The sequence below is a fragment of the Homo sapiens genome, chromosome 5 (assembly GCF_000001405.40).
Source record: "Homo sapiens chromosome 5, GRCh38.p14 Primary Assembly".
NCBI lineage: Eukaryota > Metazoa > Chordata > Mammalia > Primates > Hominidae > Homo > Homo sapiens.
The window spans coordinates 130,330,216-130,352,499 of NC_000005.10; the positions used below are offsets into that span (position 1 = coordinate 130,330,216).

At 35.9% G+C, this 22,284-nt stretch overlaps 1 long non-coding RNA gene across 1 annotated transcript in view; it reads left to right on the forward strand.

Annotated features, from left to right (window-relative positions):
• The first annotated feature begins 7,193 nt into the window (after nucleotides 1-7,193).
• The window catches only part of LOC105379171 (uncharacterized), a 42,488-nt gene continuing 27,397 nt past the window's right edge, over nucleotides 7,194-22,284 (forward strand). The window contains exon 1 of the long non-coding RNA XR_001742880.1: nucleotides 7,194-7,867. This is a non-coding gene — a long non-coding RNA (uncharacterized LOC105379171). The remainder of the gene's footprint in view (nucleotides 7,868-22,284) is intronic.

Consider the following 22,284-nt stretch of genomic DNA (forward strand, 5'->3'; position numbering starts at 1 on the left):
TGTGGCTTCAGAGAGTGCAAGCCCCAATTCTTGGTGGCTTCCATGTGGTGTTAGGCCTTCAGGTGTGCAGAAGGCAAGAGTTAAGCTTTGGAAGCCTCCATCTAGATTTCAGAGAGCGTATGGAAACCTCTGGATGTCCAGGCAGATGTCAGCTGCAGGGGTGAAGCCTTCATGGAAAATCTCTACTAGGGCAGTGCAGAGAGGAATTGTAGGGTTGGAGCCCCCACATAGCATCCCAGCTGGAGCACTGCCTAGTGGAGCTGTGAGAAGCAGGCCACTATCCTGCAGACACCAGAATGGTAGCTCCACTGACAGCTTGCACTGTACACCTGGAAAAGCTGCAGGCATTCAACACCAGCCCATGAAAGCAGCCATGGAGGCAGTATTCTACAGAGCCACAGGGGTGGAGCTGCCAAAGGCCTTAGGAGCCCACGCCTTGCATAGCATGCCCTAGATGTGAGACATGGAGTAAAAATAGACTATTCTGGAGCTTTCAGATTTAATGACAGCCCTGTTGGGTTTCAGACTTGCATGGCACCTGTAGCCAATTGGTTTTGGCCAATTTCTCCCTTTTGGAATAGGTTTATTTACCCAATGCCTGAACCACCATTGTATCTTGGAACTAACTAATTTGTTTTTTATTTTACAGTCTCATAGGCAGAAGGTACTGGTCTCCGCTGGGACTTTGGACTTGGACTTTTGAGTTAATGCTAGAATGAGTTAAGTCTTTGAGGGACTGGGCCAGGTGCAGTGGCTCATGCCTGTAATCCCAGCATTTTGGGAGGCCAAGGTGGGCAGATCATGAGGTCAGGAGATCAAGACCATCCTGGCTAACATGGTGAAACCCCGTTTCTACTAAAAATATAAAAAATTAGCCAGGCATGGTGGCAGGCGCCTGTAGTCCCAGCTACTCGGGAGTCTAAGGCAAGAGAATGGTGTGAACCTGGGAGGCAGAGCTTGCAGTGAGCCAAGATTGTGCCACTGCACTCCAGCCTGGGTGACAGAGTTAGACTCTGTCTCAAAAAAAAAAAAAAAAAGACTTTGGGGAACTGTTGGGAAGTCATGATTGTGTTTTGAAGTATGAGAAGGACATGAGATTTGGGAGGGACCAGGGCACAATGATATGGCTTAGCTCTGTGTCCGCACTCAAATCTCATGTTGCATTATAATCCCCCAATGTTCAAGTGGGGCCTTGTGGAGGGTGATTGGATCATGGGGGTGGTTTCTAATGGTTTAGCACCATTCCTCTAGTACTGTCTCATGATAGAGTTCTCATGAGATCCGGTTGTTTAAAAGTGTGTTGCACTTCCCCCTTTGTGCTCTCTCTCCTGCTGCCATGCGATGACATGCTTGCTTCCCCTTCTGCCATGATTGTAAGTTTCCTGAGACATCCCCAGCCATGCCTTCTATACAGCCTGGGGAACTGAGTCAATTAAACTTCTTTTCTTTATAAATTACCCAGTCTCTGGTAGTTCTTTTTACAGTGTGAGAACAGACTAACACAGATGGGTAGTCTGCAAATATTTTCTCCCATTCTGTGAATAGTCTCTTCACTCTATTGATTGTTTCCTTTGGTGTGCAGAAGATTTCTAGCTTGATGTGATCCCATTTGTCCATTTTTGCTTTGATTATATATGCTTTTCAGGTTTTACTCAAGAAATCTTTGTCTAGACCAATGTCCTGGAGTATCTTCCCAATGTTTTCATAAAACTGACATGAACAGCAACTGAATTGCTGGACTGGTTTAGTCACCAGAAGTGGAAGTCTTCGTGGTGTACCTTTGAAGTATTGTAGTGGAGACAACAAGGAAGAAAGACCCTACAGTGAGCAGAGCTCTGGGCAGCAAGATTGGCAGAACAAAGAACTTACATAAAGTTCAAGGGGTAGGAAAACTTCTTCTACCCACCTGGATATGTTATGGACCAGAAACCACTATTGCCAGTACCTTTTCCTCTGTTTCTAAGTGGAAAACACTTATAATCATTCCTCCCACTATGATTTGGATAAGTTAATCACATTTTATAAGATCCCAAAAAACCAGTTCTGAATCTTATCAGAGATCCTGCATTTGGAATTGGATAAAGGAACGAGATGTTATTGGATAGCAACTAGATGTTTCTGGAGAAAGAAACTAGTTGTTTTCCTTTAGTGAAGGAATATTTCCACTTCCATTTATATAGGGAAGAGCTAATTGGGGCTTTTTTTTTTTTTTTTTTTTTTTTTGAGGCAGAGTCTCACTCTGTTGCTCAGGCTGGAGTGCAGTGGCGTGATCTCGGCTCACTGCAACCTCCACCCTCCCAGGTTCAAGCAATTAACCTGCCTCAACCTCCCAAATAGATGGGACTACAGGTATGCACCACCACACTGGCTAATTTTTGTAGTTTTAGTAGAGATGGGATTCCACCATGTTGGCCAGTCTGGTCTTGAACTCCTGACCTCAAGTGATCCACCTGCCTTGGCCTCCCAAAGTGCTGGGATTACAGGCATGAGCCACTGCGCTTGGCCCTAGTTGAGGAATTTTTGAAATCAGTAGTTTCCCTCTTATCTACAGGGGATATGTTCCAAGACCCCCATTGTATGCCCAAACCACTGATGGTACCCAACCAGATTGCCATCAATTGGAATACATTTCTGTTTACATATTCCACCCACAAACTTAATATCTTTTCCATTTTAACTTAGCACTTATCACGCGGCCATAACTTTTCCAATTTGAAGTGCAACAGCAAAACTAGCACGGATTCCTGTTCCTTCTTCACAATCTCATGGATAGAAGATTTGTTCTTACTGTAGATCTTAGCAACTTCAGCATATGATTTTTTTTTCTTTCCTTATTAACTCAAAACTTCTACATCTCCACTTAAATGGAGCACTTTAGGGATTCTTTTTGCCATATCCAAATTGCCAGGATTACTACTCTCATGCATGGGCCATTATTAAGTAAACTAAGGGTTCCTTGAACATAAGGAGTACCCATACCTCTATGGTCTGAAAGCAAAGTCAGCTAATAAGTGATGCAGGCTGGTAACTTCTACAGTGTGGATACACTGGACAAAGAAATGATTCATGTCCTGGGCTGGGTGAATCAGGATGTGTGAGATTTCATCATGCTACTCAGAACGGTGTGTAATTTAAAACTTAACAATTGGTATTTCTGGAATTTTCTACTTCATATTTTCTAGAATGTAGTTGATCTCAGGTAAGTAAAGCAAACCACGGATAATAGAAAGCAGAACCACAGATAAGAGAGGATATATGGTTCAAAGACTAAATAAAAAGGGAAATTGGAAAGATCATAATCTTAGACAATTTGACATTTCAGATATAAATACGACGCACACACATATAAAGAACATAGAGTCAAAGTGACAAATATTGTCAGTTCTTTCTTATATTACATCATAAATCAGTAGAATTCAGATTTATATTCCAATAGGGATTACAATAAAATTTGACAAGACGAACCTAAAACTTAAAATTAAAAAAAAATGTGAAAATCACCAGAACAAATTTTACTTCATTAAAAAATTAATAGCATTATTGAAATATAATTGACATACAGTAAAGTGCATATATTTAAGTGCATACATTTTGATAAATTTTGACCCTACAGTTAAGACAGTGAACACATACATCATTCCTAGAAGTTTCTTTGCATCCTTTGTAATCCTTCCCTTCCGACTCTCCCTACCACTGGATGGGTATAGATAGATTTGTAAATTAATGTTTTTTGTCTTTCATTATTTTAAAGATGTTGCTCCACTATCTGCAGGTTCTTGTTGTTTTGGATAAGAAATCTGATGCCATCCTCATCTTTATTTCTTTACGTTATATAATGTCTGTTTTTCTCTGCTTTTAAAATGTTGTCTTTATCACTAGCTTTAGGCCATATGATTATGATATGCTTGGTGAAGATTTAAAATTATGCGTCTTTCGACCTTTGGGTTTGTTGAACTTTTTCATACTGTGCACTATAGGGTTTTTTTTTTCTGTTTTTAAAATCAAATTTGTAAGATATTTTAGTCACAACCTCTTTAGCTTTTTTTTTCTGTACCATTTCTCTCCTTTCCTCCTGGGATACTAATCACACATAAGGTAGGCTGCTTGAAGTTGTCACGCTGTTCCCTTATCTTCTCTTCATTATTATTTTTTAGGGTTTTGCTGTTTCATATTCTATAGTTTCTATTTCTATGTGTTCCAGTTTATTGATTATTTCTCCTGCAATATCCAATCAGCCATCAAATCCTTCCAGAGTATTTTTTATTTCTGTACGAATTTTCAGTTTTGGAATTTTGATTTGGAGTATTTTTTAACCTTCTATGTTTCTACTTAACATGCTCAATCTTTCCTCTAGCTTTTCAGTCATGTGAAACACAGCTATAATAAGTATTTTAATGCCTATTAATAATAATGTGTGTGTTAATTCTAGTTTGCTGCTGATTGGTTGCTTTTCCGCCTAATTTGGGGTTGGATTTTCCTGCTTTTTATATGGTTTTTCTATAGAATGCCAGCCATTGTTGATTTTATCTTCTTAGGTGCTGGGGATTTTTTCATTGCGATAAATACGAATGACCTTTGTTCTGAGATGCAGTTAAGTTATTTAGGAAGAGTTCTTATTCCTGAGATTTATTAGGTAGTATCACAGCAGTATGTATACTAGAGTAATTAGAGGTGTCTTAGGTTCCTTGGATTTCCAGCTTTATCATCTCAAATCAGGAAGTCTACCAGGCTGTGTCTGGGTCTTTTCTTCCTGCTCCACTGGCTGGAATACTGAAGGCAGTAAGCTGTGGCAACTGCAGAGCTAAGCTTGTTTATTTCCTATTTTTCAGTGATCATTGTCCTTTTTTCCTGATATCCAATATCTTGAAAACTATAGTTTCATATATTTTACCCTGATTTTCATTGTTTCTGCTAGCAGGGTAAACCTGGTCCTTTTTGTTCTGTCTCAGTTGAAAGTATAAATAAACCAAGATGATTTGGAGCAAAAGATGTGAGAAAATTTGCTCTATAAGAAAATACAGTCATGTATCACTTAATTACAGGGATTCATTCTGAGAGCAGTAGGTTAGCTTACACCAGCGTCATCACAAACACATGAGTAATGCATTGCACTATAGTGTTAGGATGGCCATGATATCACTGGGTGAGAGGAATTTTTTTCAGTTCCATTATAATCTTATGGGACCACTCTCAAACAGACAATTCATTGTTGACCAAAACAATGGTATGCAGTCAGTGCATGACTAATTAAAATACTGGTTATTTGGTGTGAAATTAAACAAATTCTATTGGAAAGAAAATGACCTGTATTTGTATGGAAAATTAGCACTGAGTTATTGTAACTTTTTGACTTAGTTAAGAACCTATAGACTACTTAAAAATGGTATTGGAAACATTGACAAGTATTTGGCAAAACTAGAATTATATACCTTCTTCACTTCAATCACAAACATACAATTCTAATTGGATTAAAGATCTAAAATAGAATATACAAAATCATAAAATTTGTAAAAGAAAATAATTTCAGAACTGTGAGTTATTGAAGCTTTCTATAAACTAAAATTATAAGCCATAAAGCTAGATTAACAAATTTCACTATGTTAAAATTAAAAATGTCTCTGCCATCAAAAAAACTTCACCATTAACAATGTTAAAAGATAAACGACAGATGAGAACAAGTGCACATAAAACAGCCATTGGATTAATATTAAAATACGTAAAGGTTTACCAAATAATAAAAATAATAGGCCAATGGAAAACAGAGCAGAAAATATAAACAACTGTAGCATTTAACAACAGAAAATACATATAACCAAGGACATATGAAGTAGAGTCAAGCATTTTAAAAATACACATTGGTGGCCGGGCGCAGTGGCTCATACCTGTAATTTCAGCACTTTGGGAGGCTGAGGCAGTCGGATCATGAGGTCAGGAGATAGAGACTATCCTGACCAACATGGTGAAACCCTATCTCTACTAAAAATACAAAAATTAGCTGGGCGTGGTGGCGTGTGCCTGTAATCTCAGCTACTTGGGAGGCTGAGGCAGGAGAATCACTTGAACCAGGGAGTTGGAGGTTGCAGTGAGCCAAGATCGCGCCACTGCACTCCAGCCTGACAACAAAGTGAGACTCCATCTCAAAAAATAAAAAAAAAAGAAAGAAAGGAAGAAAGAAAGAAAGAAAGAAAAAGAACGAAAAGAAAGAAAAAATTGGCAAAAATTAGTTTGTTAATATCAAATGTAAAGCTATGGGAAATAAGTAGCCCCCCCCAAATTTAAACATTACATGTCTAATGACCAGTTTTATTTCTTATTATTATACACTCAGATTTAATACCACGGTTAAGAACAAGAGGAATAAACAGAGATTTTCATGGCAATATTGTTTATTATAAAAAATTTGAAAACAAATTATATTTCCATCATTGGGAAAATAACTAAACTACAAATAAATTGCATGCATAGTATAGCATACACTATATAAGGTTAAAAAGTGACACAGAAAAGTCTCCAAAGGGATTATGATGGTGAGAGAAGGCAGTAGGAAGCAATTATCATAATAAAGCATTTAGCATGATGAAGTATCCATCAGAAACACAAACACACACAGCAACACTGTACACTTCTCTAAATAGTTGCTTGTATGAGTACATGTGTATTTAACACATTAAAAAGCCTAAAAATATACCTGTTAAATGATAATCTGGGATAAAAAGAGGTATTACATGTAGTAGTCAAAAAGCATTTAACCTTAACCTATAATATTTCATTTTTTATCAGTGACAATGCATTCTACATTGCTTGTGTAATTCTATAAATATTACTATACAAACCAGTGCTAAAATGAATTATAATATGGGAATAAGCATGCATATGGGGTCTGTATATGCATGCTAGGAGGCCACTTAGTGGAATGTAGTGGGTGCCTCTTATTTTTGTACACAGCATCCCTTTCTCCTTTTCCAGTTAATAGGACAATTAAATTCCTTTTTATAGTTTTATTTTGCATAAACTAATTCAAATTGGGTTTGTGTCATTTGTAACTGAACAAGTCCTTATTTTCTAACACATTTTCCGTTTTGTTGTCATTGTGTTTTAAAAATGTAAAAACAGCACATTACTATGCAACTTCCAGTTTATCTTGAAGAAATGAGTCACCACCCAAGTATGGAGCATGAGCTTTATCTCACGGGATTGGAAAGGCAGACTGGGAAAGGAATGACACTTTGGAAATTTACTTTGAGAAATGTCTGTATTATTAAACAGAATAAGGTTTTCATTTCTGTATTCTTTCAGCAAAGCTACTAATCTGAGCAACGTGGAATTAAAATTGTAGACTAATAAAAGGTAAGATATATAAGAGTAAAGTATATAAGATTCTAACAATAGAGATTTTGATAATGGGTAGTTGCTTCTTATTTCCCTTCTGTCAACAGCCACGCCTCGAGAGCCCAGCTCCGGGACCCTGGCACCAGGGGAAGCTCCCATGACAGATTACTGTGGTCTCTTGCATGCTGCTATAGATTGCAATACTGAGACCATGATAACCTGCCACTCCCCAAAATATTCTTGTCTTGCCTACTTGCTCAAATATTGGAGGATCTGAAGAAATTACGAAGAAGTTTTGATCCTTAGTAATCAGTGAGGATTGTCCAGAAAAATAGAACCAATAGGATGTGCGTATATATATGTAAATGAAAGAGATTTATTTTAAAGAATTGGCTTATGAGATTTTCCAGACTTGGTGTGTCCAAATTCTGATGAGGAAGCCTGGAAGGCTGAAGACTTAGGAAAGAGTTGCAATTTGTGTCCAAAGGCAGTCTGCTGGTGAGCCAGGAAGAACTGATGTTGCAGATGAAATCTAAAGGTAGGTACTCTGTTGTCAGAATTTCCTCTTGCTTGCAGGAGGTCAGGCTTTTGTCTACACGGGCCTGCAACTGATTGAATGGGGCTTGCCCACATTGTAGGGGATACTCTACTCAAAGTTCACCAGTTTAAAGGTAGATCTCATTGAAAACACCTGCACAGAAACAATCATAATGTACAACCACATATCTGGGCACTGTGGCACAGCTGTGTTGACACATAAAATTAACCATCACACTTAGTCTAACATCTTTCAAGCATTTCCAAATCGGTTTTAATTTACTGGTGGACCTATGACTTATATTGAAAATTTTAAATGAAAATAATAAAATTCTTTTGAAAAATAAAGATAATATAGTTATGTACATTAAAACAAAAACTTTATATGACTACCTGATTATGAAAAATGGTATTAATTAAATAATTATTTTTGGTACATATTTGGAATTTTAATCTTTCTTGGCCATATCTCTAATATTATGTCACTGGAGTTCTTTAGCAAAAAAATATATTTTTAGTATGGTCCTACTTTTTCTTTTTCTTGTAACATTCGTTCAGTATTTTTAAAGTTGTATGTCATGGCAAATCAATTTCTGATAATCTCAGAGCAAATTCTACAAACTGGAAAACACAGTCAATTGTAATTCTTTTCATAAAGAAATACATAAATATTTTAACAGAAGTATTGTCATAAGTATAATATTTTTGTCTCCATGTAGACTACCATGTTGACAAATATTTTTAGAAGACATCAAATAATTTGCCACCATTTATGATTGTGTTTAATATTTTGTCAGATGTAAATGCTGCAAGTACGTAGGGCTTCTGAATGTTATTTCATTCAAGTGGAGGATATAAACATATCCAATACAAATAGAAGTTCCAATTTTTTCATAAGTCAAGATATTCCAAGATGCAATTAAATCTCAAATTTTAATTTCATATGCTCTTTGAGCTCTTGTTTAATTTGATTGGTTCCCGTGTGGCTTTTTAAAGTAAAATTTTGTTGTATGGCATACATACTGAAAAGTGAACAAGTCATAAATTATACAGGTTGGTGAAATTTCACTAAGTGATCAACACCAGTGTAACTACCATGTAGATCAAATCAAGAAATAGATTATTATCAGGTTCCCAGAAAGTTCATCCTCATATCTCCTTCACATCAGTGACTATTGCCTAATGCAGTGACTATTTGCATTCATAGTTGTTGGGGGGTTTTTCAGCTCAGAAAAATAATTATTGCCCATTATCCATATTATTAGGATATTATAATAGTGAAGTAGTTCAGTGTGTATGTGTGTGTGTGTGTGTGTGTGTGTGTGTAAAAGAGAGACAGATAAAAGACAGAGAGATATAGTACCTTCAATTTCTTTTGGATTATGTGTTGCTACGTCATTCATTACATGTTGCTATGTCATTCACAGAAACATCAGGAGTAGACAAGACTGCCTGTTACTGTGTAGCACTCGATCCATTTCTGTTTTGATTTGGAGATGATAAATTAAGGAAACTCTTCTTGGTATGTTCATTTGTGAGGATGGTCAGTGTAAGAATTAGATGCCAGTGTATGTGTAGATCCTTCATACAAAGCCTAGAACAACCATTTGGAAAATTCAGTGCCAATTTCTTGCAGAATAATGTAGTGAAGTGGGTTCCCTGGGTGCCTGGCTGTAGGATGGCAGGTGCCTGGAAATGTAACCAAGAGAACAAAGGGAGAGGCAGGAGGTAAAGGTACTGGGTTGGGAAAACCAATAAATTATACCGTTTTTTAATTCCCGTCCTGAATTTAAAACCAATTAAGAAATAAAACATGGAAAAGACACTGATGAGGACCAAATATTGGTTTTAATAATGATAAAGCTAATTGGAGAATTTGGCTTTAGTTTTCATAACAAAGGACCTGCTAAAACTCAACCCAGGGAAACTTTGGGTCTGATAAGCAAATATACTGATCTGGGATGATGACCTTAAATGGGTGGAGAAGAAATAAAAGAAGATTAATCCCCAGTGCTTATAGATGTTTAATAGATGAGGCTTGTTAATTTACAAACATGGTTCAGTGGTGTCAGATCCTTGCCAACCAACAACAAATACTACACTTTCTATATGGAGAGGAATAGGAAAGGGATGAAGAAAGAGGCCTGAACATCACTCTGCAAGAGAAAACAAAACCAGATAAATGAAGGTTCCTTCCTAATGTTAGTCATCACATATAACCTTTTTACAGAGACTAAATGTATATCTAAATGCTGCCTTGTGTTATGATCAAGATAAGTTTAATGTAATGGTTAAAAACTATGGTAATCACATATGTCTGTATATAGAGAAATTTAATCATCCTCAAAATATAAAAATGAATTATTTGGACAAATTAGTCAATACTTTGGTTGGTGGTCTATATGTTATATTGAAGTATAAATTATTCCAGCCTTTCAAATATATAGATAAATTTTGATTAGTAATGTGATGCCAGAATTCCAGGGATTGTCCATTTCACCCATTGATAATGCTAAGCAACTCTAAGGGACTATGCAGAAACTAAAAAGGCAGGAAAAAGTCATTCGAACAACAAAAGTCATTCGAGCAAGAAAACATGACCTTTATTCCAGAGTAGAATTTAGTATACATTATTAAAAGGTTGATATGCGAGCAACTGTGAAAGAAACTAGTGATTATTAAAGCCAGCATGTCCTCATTAAACAAGTTATGTCACAATAACTACATTTTTTTATAACAAGGTTGTAAGATTAGTAGGCTATGGAAGTTCTAAGAAAAAAATAGAAATAATAAGTGCAAGGGTAACAACAGTGGCAGTAATGTTTACTTTAATCTATTAAGTCTAAGAGTTAATAGACTTAATTGATAGACTTAAAACAACTGGAATGCTGCCTGATACATGGTAAGAGCTTAAAAACAAACTATTTTTATGATTGTCATTATTTTTTAAGAAACTTTAGTTGGGTTAAAATATAACACGTATTATTCATAAAAGATTTTGGAAACGTGTTAAATATTGTCTAAATTGATAAGTTGGAACAGATCGGAACAGATTTTATTGTATATAGGTGAATTTGCAACTGGGTCATAATATTGAAAGAATTTAAGATAAAGAAATAAATTCAGTGGCATAATAAAGGTCTACAATTTAGACTCTTCTCACTGAGCATTTTCATTAATGACTTCAGGAAGGCAAAGTTATTAGATAGAAGATAAAATAAAGCTGAAGGGTAGCAAATCAGGAATCCAAGAACTGTTTCTTTCTAGAAAAACAGGCTGAATGGAATAAAATTAATTATAATAGTGAAAATTGAAGAACAGCACACTTAAGTAAAACAAAAACCCAAAAAAGAACTGTCCATGTGCATTAAGCATCAGTATTACTTAGCATCAGTATTAGTGGGGAGAAAATATTTGTCGAAAAGCAAGCTTATTATGAGTCAAAAACTGTAAAATAAATCTTCAATAAAATAAAGCAATTCTGAGCTTCACTAAATTCTAATTTGTTCTATGTGTCAGAGGTATTGAATAAACATCAATTGATAGAAGATGGGGGAAACCATTTTCACTCAAGCTCTAAACTCACCCTGCCCGTTTATTGACCAGGCTGGAGTGCAGTGTCATAACAGCTTTGAATTCCTGGGCTCAAGTGATCCGCCCACCTCAGCCTCCCCAGAATCTAGAACTACAGGCGTATGCCACTAAGCCTGGCTAACTTTTTTTTTTTTTTTTGCTAGTGACAAGGGTATTGTTATGTTGCTCAGGCTTATCTTAAACTCCTGGCCTCAAGTGATCCTCCTGCCTCAACTTCCTAAATAGTTGGGACTAGTGGCATGCGCCATTGCACCCAGTACTAAAGTTAAACTTTCTAAAGATTAATTGAAACTATCCAAAGTGGAATGCCCACGTTTGGGGAGCAGTTTATTCTCAATCTTTAGAGTACTTTGAGCAGTACCTGGAAACCTTGTATAGCCAGAGTTTCATAATCTAAGGTCAGAAATAAATAAAGAGGTTGTTTAGAAAATAAGGATGACTGGAACCTACTCCTTTATATTCTGATCCAAGAAGCCTGAAGTGGGTACAAGCTTCTCATCTGCTTTCTTTTGTATTTACTATTTACTTTTTTTTTCTTTTTACAACACTGTTCCTGTTGATAACCCAGGAGTGGAAATCTGACCTGGATTGTGGATCAGACAAGGCATTCCTAAAGCACTTAACGTGATAGAGATCTGAAACATATGTAAAGAGGGCTTATAAGGGCGTTCCAGGCAGATGGAACAGCATGTGCAAAGCCTCTGTGGTAGGCAAAAAGCATAATATGATGAGTAATTAAAAGACAGCGGGAGTGGCCAGAACAGAATGTGAAAGAGAAAATGGAGAGATGAGACTGGAGAGGTCTATATTACTGACAACACACGGCCTTGTAGTTCATGTTCACAATTTTGACCTTTGTCTAAAAGCAATAGGAAGCCACTGAACAGTGTCAATTAGGAAGGTGACATGACTGGATTATGATTTTGAAAGGCTTGCCCTGTCTGCGGGGTGGTTAATAGATTGGAGAGGGACAAAAGATTATACCAGAAATTCAGATAGATGTCTATCTCAGTGGTCCAGTTAACAGATTAATGATCATTTATTTTGATAAGGTGACAAGGGAGATGAAAAAATTGATGAAAAATTGATGATAAAGTGATGAATTCAAAAGATATTTGCAAATTAATATCAATAGGACTTAATGAAAGGTTGAGGATGGGATTGGAGTAGAAAAAAGTTTCAAGGCCCTGTTCTTTCAGGGAATATTTATGAAACCACTACTATGTGTTGGGTACTGTTGTAGGACTTAGGGGTACACCAGTGAACAAGATGAACAAGGTCCCTGAGTTTGTGAAGCTTACTTATCAGTGGAGAAGACACATAAACACATAAAGAAATAATAAAATAATAAAATAATCACATGTACTTTGAGGAAAATAAAATGCTGTGACGTGATAGAGAGTCGTTGAAGAAATGTTTAAATTAGTGGTAGCTAGAGAGCATCTCAAAGAGTAGTTAAGTGTTAAGCTGAAACCTCAATAACAAGAAGGAACTCATCATACGAAGAAATAGAACTGGAGCCTTCCAGACCAAACCAAAAATAGGCAGTGCAGATGTCCTAATGGAAGAACAAGTCTAATGTCTTTAAGGAAAAAAATAAGGCTACTTTGTTTGGAAAGGAATGAGGAGGGATGCCATGGAAAGAATGACGGTTGGAGAGGCAGGGCTAGATCATGTAGGGCCTGGTAGATCATGATAAACAGTTTCAACTTCATGCAATGCCTATGTAAAAGTATAAAGGCTTTTTTTTGGTTGGTTGTTTGTTTTAATAGGAAGGTCATCAAGATCCTATTGCAGCAATTCAGAAGGGAAGCAATGATAGTGATTTGGACTAGTGAACCATTAGTGGAAAATGGAGAAAATGAATACAATTGGGATTATTTTGAGGGTAAAAAAGGAAGAATTTGTTGTTGGATTAGATGTGGGGGTTCAAGAAGGACAGCCCTCTTTCTCAGTTTTTAGTTGAACAACTGAGAGGATAGTATCATATCCTTAGAGGAGGAAGACTTAGGAGAAAAATGTTTTTCAGACAGGGAAGGAAGAATAAATAATTTCAGATCATCCATGTTGTTTAAGATGTCTATTATACACCCAAGTGTACATAAAACTTTGATCAAGACTAGAGATATTATCTAGTTTGCATATCTAGATAGATGGTGCTGCCTTTTATTGATATAAGAAATCTTGTCTGAAGTGCTACTTAATGAAGTGTGTGGTCCAATGAGATACTAAGCATTAAAAAGGTAAAGTAAGTATACTGCTGAATTCATTAGTAGCAACCTTGCAATGGTGCTATTAGCTTTCCTAAATAAAGAAGGCTGCTGGGTTTTTTTGTTAGTCTGTTTTTTGGAGATGTCAGCAGGTACAGGAAATGGGAAGAATGTGTCTTATTTGTTAATCTCATTTTTTTTCAGTAAACTAGCTTAATTTCAGAATTTCAATTAGGGTCATTCCTCCTCTGCATAATCAATTTCTGATTTGGAGTCTTTATTATTTATTTATCTATATTATAAATAATATAATAAATATTTATTATAATTATAGTAAATGTACAGTGGCATCTCATTATGATTTTAACTTGCATTTTCCTGGAAACTAATGACGTTTGTCATTTTTTTCTGTACTTATTGGCTATTTGTATATATTCCTTGGAGAAATGTCTATTCAAATTTTTGCCCATTTTTAAATTGGGTGGTATTTTTGTTGTTGAATTGTAACAGTTAATTATGTATTCTGGTACTAGATCTTTATTAAATATATGATTTGAAAATATTTTCTCCCATTTGGTGAATTGTCTTTTCACTTTCTTGATAGTGTGGTGGATGCATGAAAGTTTTTAATTTTGATGAAGTTCAGTGTATCTATTTTTCTTTTGTTATTTATGCTTTTGATATCATATCTAAGGATCCTTTGCCAAATCAGATTCATGAAGGTTTACTCCTGCGTTTTATACTGAAACATTTATAGCTTTACATCTTACATTTCGCTCTTTTGATCCATTTTGAATTAACTTTTGTATATGGTGTAAGGAAAGGGCCTAACTTGATTGATTGATTGATTTCGCAAGTGGCTATCCAGTTCCAGCATCATTTGTCAAAAAGACTATTTCCACTTTGGATGGTTTTGGCACACTTGCTAAAAACCAGTTAGCCATATATGAATAGATTTATTTCTGTATTCTCAATTACATTCCATTGATCTATCATAGCCATTATCTTTGTTTTTTGTTTTTTTTTTGTTTTTGTTTTGTCTTTTGTGAGGCGGAGGTGTGCTCTGTCACCTAGGCTGGAGTGCATTGGTACGATCTTGGCTCACTGCAACCTTCGCCTCTGAGGTTCGAGCAATTCTCCTGCCTCAGCCTCCTGAGTAGCTGGGGTTACAGGCACCTGCCACTACGCCTGTTTTGTTTGTTTGTTTGTTTGTTTTTGTTTTTTTAGTAGAGATTCGGTTTCATCATGTTGGTCAGGTTGGTCTTGAACTCCTGACCACAGGTGATCTACCCACCTCGGCCTCCCAAAGTGTTTATACCAATACTACACTGTCTAAACTTTGCTTTGTAGTGAGTTTTGAAATCAGGAAGTGTTAGCCATTCTACTTCTATTCAAAATTGTTTTAGTTATTTGGAATTTTTGAAATTTTAGAGTCAGCTTGTCTTTTTTTTTTTTTTTTTTTTAAGATGGAGTCTCACTCTGTTGCCAGGCTGGAGTGCAGTGGCAAGATCTTGATCACTGCAACCTCCGCCTCCCGGGTTCAAGCTATTCTCCTGCCTCAGCCTCCTGAGTATCTGGGACTACAGGCATGTGCTACCATGCCCAGCTAACGAGGTTTCACCATTTTGGCCAGGATGGTCTTGACCTCTTGACCTCATGATCCGCCTGCCTCAGCCTCCCAAAGTGCTGGGATTATAGGCGTTAGCCACCACGCCCGGCCCAGCTTGTTAATTTTTAAAAGAAGTCATTTTGATACAGATTGCATTAAACTTGAGATCAGTTTGGGGACTGTTCCCTTCTTAACAATATTATGTCTTCCAATCCATGAACATGGGATATTTTTTCAATTATTTAGATCTTCTTTAATTCCTCTCTACACATTTTGTGGTTTTCACAATATAAATTTTTCACAGCTTTGTTAAATTTATCCCTAAGTATTTTAATTCTTTGGATGCTCTTATACACAGAATTATTCTCTTAATGTCATTTTCAGATTATTCATGGCAAATGTATCAGAATCTTTGTATATTGATTTATTTTGTAACCTTGCTGAACTAATTTATTAATTGTAATAATAGTTTTTAGTGCATTCCTTAGGATTTTCTATCTACAACTTCATGTCATCTATGAACCAGGATAATTTTACTTCTTCCTATCCAGTATGAATGCCTTTATATTCATTTATCTTTCCTAATTTCCTTAGCTAGATTTTATAGTACAATATTTAATACAAGTGTCAAGAGCAGGTGTCTTTGTCCTGTTCCTGATATTGTAGGGAAACCATTCAGTCCTTCACAATTAAGTATGAGGTTAGCCAGAGGTTTTTTATAGACCTTCTTTATCAGTTAAAGATGTTTCCTTCAATTTCTAGTTTGTTGAATTTTTAAAAAATCATGAAATAGTATTGGAGTTTTCTGAATCTATGATCATATATTTTTCTGAATCATATGCTCTTCCCTTTTTATTCATTCATATAATGTATTACATTAATATTCAGTTGTTAAACCAATCTTGCATTACTAGAATAATGGTCCTATATGGTCATGATGTAAAATTATTTTTTATATATTGCTGGATTCAGTTAGATAGCATTTTGTAGAAGATTTTTGCATCTTCAGTCATAAGAGATATTGGTCTCTAGTTTTCTTGTGATGTCTTTGCCTAGTTTGGTTACCAGGGTAATACTGGCCTCATAGAATGAGTGGAAAGTATTTCCCCTTCTTCTATTTTAGGGAAGAGTTTGTGAACAATTGGTACTACTTTAAAAATATGCCTGGTGGAATTCAGCTTGAAGCCACCTGATCCTGAGCTTTTGTTTGAGGATAGTTTTTTTTTTTTAATTACTACTTTAATACCTTTACATAATATATCTCCATTCAGGTTGTCTATTTCTTCTCAAGTCAGTTTTGCTAGCATGTGTCTTTCTAAGTTATCTAAGTTATCTAATTGGTTGACATACAGTTATCATAGTATTAATTTATAACCCTTTTTATTTCCTGTAGGTTCAGAATTAATGTCCCCTAATTTGAGTCTTCTTTTTCTTTTTTTCTTTTTTTTTTTTTTTTTCTATCTTTTTCATCAGTCATTTAGCTAAAGATTTGTCAATTTTATTGATCTTTTTAGAAAACCAACTTTTGGTTTATTTTATCTATTGCTTTTTTATTCTCGAATTCATTAATTTCTGCTCTAACTTTTCTTATTTCCTTTCTTCTGCCTGCTTTAGGTTTAGATGGCTCTTCTTTTTCCAGTGTCTTAAAGTAGAAGGTTAAGTTATTTATTTGGCTCTTTCTTCTTTTTTAATATAGGCATCTTCAGCTTTACATTTTCCTCTAAGCAGTGCGTTAGCTGCATACCGTACATTTTTATATGTTGTATCTTTGTTTTAATTCATCTCAAAGTATTTTCTGAGTTCCCTTTTGTTTTTGTCTGTTTTTTAAAAGTCATTTCAACTTTTATTTTAGATTCAGTGGGTGTGTATGCAGGTTTGTTATATAGGTATATTACACGATGCTGAGGTTTGGGGTATGGATAATCCCATCATTCAGATAGAGAGCATAGTACCAAACAGGTAGTTTTTCAGCCCACAGTCCCCTCCTTCTCTCTCCACTCTGGTAGTCCCCAGTGTCAGTTGTTTCTATCTTTACATCTATTTGTACTAAATGCTTAGCTCCCACTTAGAAGTGAGAGCACATGGTATTTGATTTTCTGTTCCTGCATTAATTTGCTTAGCATAATGGTCTCCAACTGCATCCATGTTGCTGCAAAAAACATGATTTCTCTTTTTTTATGGCTGTATAATAGTCCATGGTGTATACATACCACATTTTCTTAATCTAATCCACCATTCTTGGGTACCTAGGTTGATTTCATGTCTTGTTATTGTAACTAGCACTGCAATGAACATACCAAGTGCATGTATCTCTTTTGTAGAATGATTTGTTTTCCTTTGGGTAGATACCCTGTAATGGGATTTCTGGGTTGAATGGTAGTTCTGCTTTAAGTACTTTGAGAAATCTCCAAACTGCTACCCACAGTGGTAGTACCAATTTACACTGCTACCAACTGTGTATAAGTGTTCTCCTTTCTTTGTAGCCTTCCCAGCATCTGTTGTTTTTAGAATTTTTAACAAAGGCCATCCTGACTGGTGTGAGAGGATATTTCATTGTGGTTTTGATTTGCATTTCTCAAATGATTAGTGATGAGCATTTATTTCATATGCTTGTTGGCTGCATTTGTGTCTTTTGATAAGTGTCTGTTCATGTACTTTGTCCATTGTTTAACGGGGTTGTTTTTTCCTTGTTGATTTGTTTAAGTTACTATAGCTTTTGGCTATTAGACTTTTGTTAGATACATAGTTTGTGAATATTTTCTCCCATTCTGTAGGTTGTCTGCTTACTATGTTAACAGTATCTTTTGCTTTGCAGAAGTTATTTAGCTTAATTAGGCCCCAGTTGTCAAGTTTTGTTTTTGTTGCAATTGCTTTTTGTGACTAAGTCACAAATTACTTGCCAAGGCCAGTGTTCAGAATGGTATTTCCTGGTTTTCTTCTAGGATTTCTATAGTTTAAGGTTTGAGTTCCCTTTTATTTTTTGACTTATTGGTTATTTAGGAGCATGTTAATTTGCACATATTTATGAGGTTCTCAAATTTCCTCTTGCTATTGATTTCTAACTCCATTCCATAGCAGTAGGAGAACATACTTTATATTATTTGCATCCTTTGAAATATATTGAGCCTCAATTTATGGCCTAGCATATGGTCTATTCTAGACAATGTTTTTGGTGAACTTGAAAATAATATTTGCTGTTGCTGTTGTGTTCTGTAGATATCTGCTTTTTAAAAAAATTTTGACACATAAAGATTACACATATTTATGGTGTATATAGTAATGTTGCGATACACATATTACATAGTGATGAGATCAGGGTAATTTGCATATCTTTTTCTTTTATCTAGTTGTCTATAGCTGTTATCACTGGCAAACTAGCTAGCCTACATTTTAGCTAGTATCTTGAATCTCTTCCTAATATGCTTTTACTACAACCTGCACTGTTTCTGAGAGTGCCCTTAAGCTTGACTTTCTCCCTGCTCTGTCGCAAATGAAATCAATTTCTTTGACAATAAATTAGGAACTATCTGTTTCATGGCCCACTTTTCCCTCCAGGTGAAATCTGTAAACCAGGACTCTAGAGCTGGAAAAGGGAAAAATAGCAAGCTTTTCTCCAAGTGTCTACCTTTCCCTAGGAAGTGAGTGCTTCTGGAGTGGGGTTAGGGGGCAGCCAGAGGTCCTTTCCTTTACCTCTTCTGGCTGAACAAGGGCAAAGGTGATCGGGGCCTCAGGCTTCTCACATCACTATGCCTTATGTAAAGCTTCCATTCTATGAGTGGAGGCTCTGAGGCAGCATCTCAATGACACCCAGGACTTAGCCTCAGCAACAGGTAGCTGAGGGCAGCATGAGAAATGCTGATGTCCTACTCCTCCCAGGATACATATACAAAAAAATGATTTCTGACTCAGAGCTTTGGGGAGAGGGAGCCCTGTGCTTTTGACTGCAGCAATCTAGAGTGAAGTCTTTACCTTGCTGAGCTGGGAGGGGGTAGTAAGGGAACAGTCTTGCTTCAGATACCACAGATGCTCACCTTTTAAAATAGATTTTCTTTAATTGCTGTTTCTCCATATGCTATTTATCCTTACAACCATTTCCAGAGGCTTTACATGGTTATGTTTTAAAATTGATTTCACCAGTTTCAATAAAGGTGGGTCAGTGAAGCCTCTCACACTGTCATTCTGGCAGTCAACGCCTAATATACGGTTCTAAACACTTTACCTCTGGTATTCAGTGTTTATGATTATAGTTCTATAAGAGTCATTTGAATAAGTGTTACTTGGCCCTCAAAGGGAATAAGAATTCTCTTTTGTCTTAAAAAAAAAAAAAAGAAATGAAATAAAACAAAAAATAAAACAAAATCTGTCTTGGGGGATTTTATGTTACATGAAATTCTGCCTTAACAATTTAATGAAAGGGCCCGGCACAGTGGCTCAAGCCTGTAATCCCAGCACTTTGGGAGGCCGAGGTGGGAGGATCATGAGGTCAGGAGATTGAGACCATCCTGATTAACAAGGTGAAACCCCGTGTCTACTAAAAAAAAATACAAAAAATTAGCCGGGTGTGGTGGTGGGCACCTGTAGTCCCAGCTACTCGGGAGGCTGAGGCAGGAGAATGGCGTGAACCTGGGAGGTGGAGCTTGCAGTGAGCTGAGATCGCGCCACTGTACTCCAGCCTGGGCGACACAGTGAGACTCCGTCTCAAAAAAAAAAAATTAATGAAAAGATATATATCTGCTTTCATTTAGTGTTGGTATGTAGGTTGGTAAGAGGTATGCAAATTGCATACCAAAACAGACCTTTCCTCCCACATTCTAAAACTCCTGCTGAGATTGACTCGTCTTTCTAGATTTTTGTAGTTGGTTCTCACAGTGCTACTGTAGGCAAGTGTCTACTTTAGTCCTTGACCGTAAACGCTAGGGCGTAAATAAAGAATATATTTAGATTGTTGGTAATATATCACCTCTATCAAAAATGTGGCTGAATTGCAAGCTCTTGTTACAGAATGAACAGCAGTCTTTACAAGAAGCAGCAGCACAATATTAACATCATCATAGTCACTGTGTGCTCTACCAAGGAGAATCTCCTTCACACAAAGGGATCATCACTGAATACATGGGGATGACTCTAGCTTCAGAGTGTGTGCAGCACAGTAGAGAGAGCACTGGAGTAGGTTTTCACCCTAAATGTGTTGTTAATTAACTCTGTGACTTTGAGAAAGTTATCCAAACCTCTAGACCTCAGTCTACTCATTTATGGTGTGAGGGGATTGAATGAGATGATCCTGTTCATCTTCAGTAATCTATGACTGCATGTGATATTAGGTGCACTTGTGGGACATAAGAAAATAGAACCAATAATTCCTGCCCACAAATTTTGAAAGATATAATATGATAACCAAGAAAATATTTAAACATATAAGGAATTATGGCAAATGTTAAACAGTATAGAAAATAATTCTCTCATGGTCAAATAAGGATATTTTGTGGATATAAATCACCTATAAATTCTAGGTATCTGTTTAGCTTTCAGTAACTCTAAAGAGCTAAACTGTGGGAGGGCGAGGTCATTTCCCCAAGAGCAAATTGTGAGTTCCACAGAAATCTCAGCAATAGGGGGAAAGATTCATAACAAACTCTAGTATTTCAGAATACATAATAAAAGACATTTAATTACAAAAAATGTAATTTTAATTACAGAATCTATTAAATACAGTGAAAAATCTAGCTGCAGTGCAATACTGACACCTTAGCCAGTAACAGGCTTAAAATGAAACAGCAGAAAAATTGATTTCTACCTGTAACTACCTTTGGTTTCTTTTATTGGCTCAATGATGCAGGTATAACAGAATCAAACAAGTAATTGCTGATGGCTCCCATCAACTCCTGCCTGTATCTCTAAGGTGTCAGAAGTGGAAATAGTTGCTCTTATGGGTAATGGCATATATGGGACCATTTGTCTATTTTGAAAGCTTTATGAATCATTTTCAAATTATTTTCCTTGATACATTGTAGTATCAGCTATTGTAGCCCTCTTCTGCTTTCCTTGTTTAGTTGCACCTCCATGCTCCATGTTCTTACTCATTTTGGATACAACTAAATGTCCCATAGTGAGTCACTTTTCATAATTAGCTAGCTTAAGGGAATAGGTTTTATTTTTAGTGGTTTTCCCTATAATTTATTTTCTGCGTAATAGAGGAAAGAGATTTGAATGTGCTGTAAAATTTGTAGATGCTAAAACTCATTTTAGTTGAGTCATGCAGTTAGAATAATTTTAAGCTAGGATTTGATGTAACTGCTTTTATTGCACCTACACTATGATTTCCTTAACAAAAACGTTTTTTTGAACTATTATTTGCATTATAGTATCCTGTGAGTTCAAAAGCAATTAGGCTATGGCTAAGAGAAATGAGCTAGAAACAATAAATAAAATCTATCTCTTTTAGTCAAAACTTGCCTACAGCTAGATTTTATAATTTGGCATTATATCATACAGGGGAAAAAACAACTTACTTGGGAGTAAAAAAAATTAGCCAAATTAGACATCCACTATTCAGTGGATTTTTTAAAATATTGTTTTAAATAAAATTCAGTGGGTTGAATTCAACTGAGTTAACGTGTTCTCAATATGAAGGCATAGTTTTTGTGTTTGCAGAAATTCAGAGTGTATAGTTCCAATAGTCTGCAAGATTAAATGTCTAAAAGTGGAATTTTACATATTTTATGATTAAGGCCCAGCCTGCCTTTCTGCAGGCAACTGAATCTAGATGTTTTCAAGGAACTCTCATTTTACATCAGTAATTTATTGGCCAAATTTAAATTTTAAGTTTTGCATGCCTTTGTTAAATTTATTTCTACATATTTTATTTTTTCGATGCTACTATAAATATTTTTTGTTAATTCCTGGCTTGATTGTTCACTGAGAAGGTATAAAATGCAATAAGCTTTCGAATATTGATCTTTTATACTGCAACCTTTCTGAACTTATTAGTTCTAATAAATTTTTACA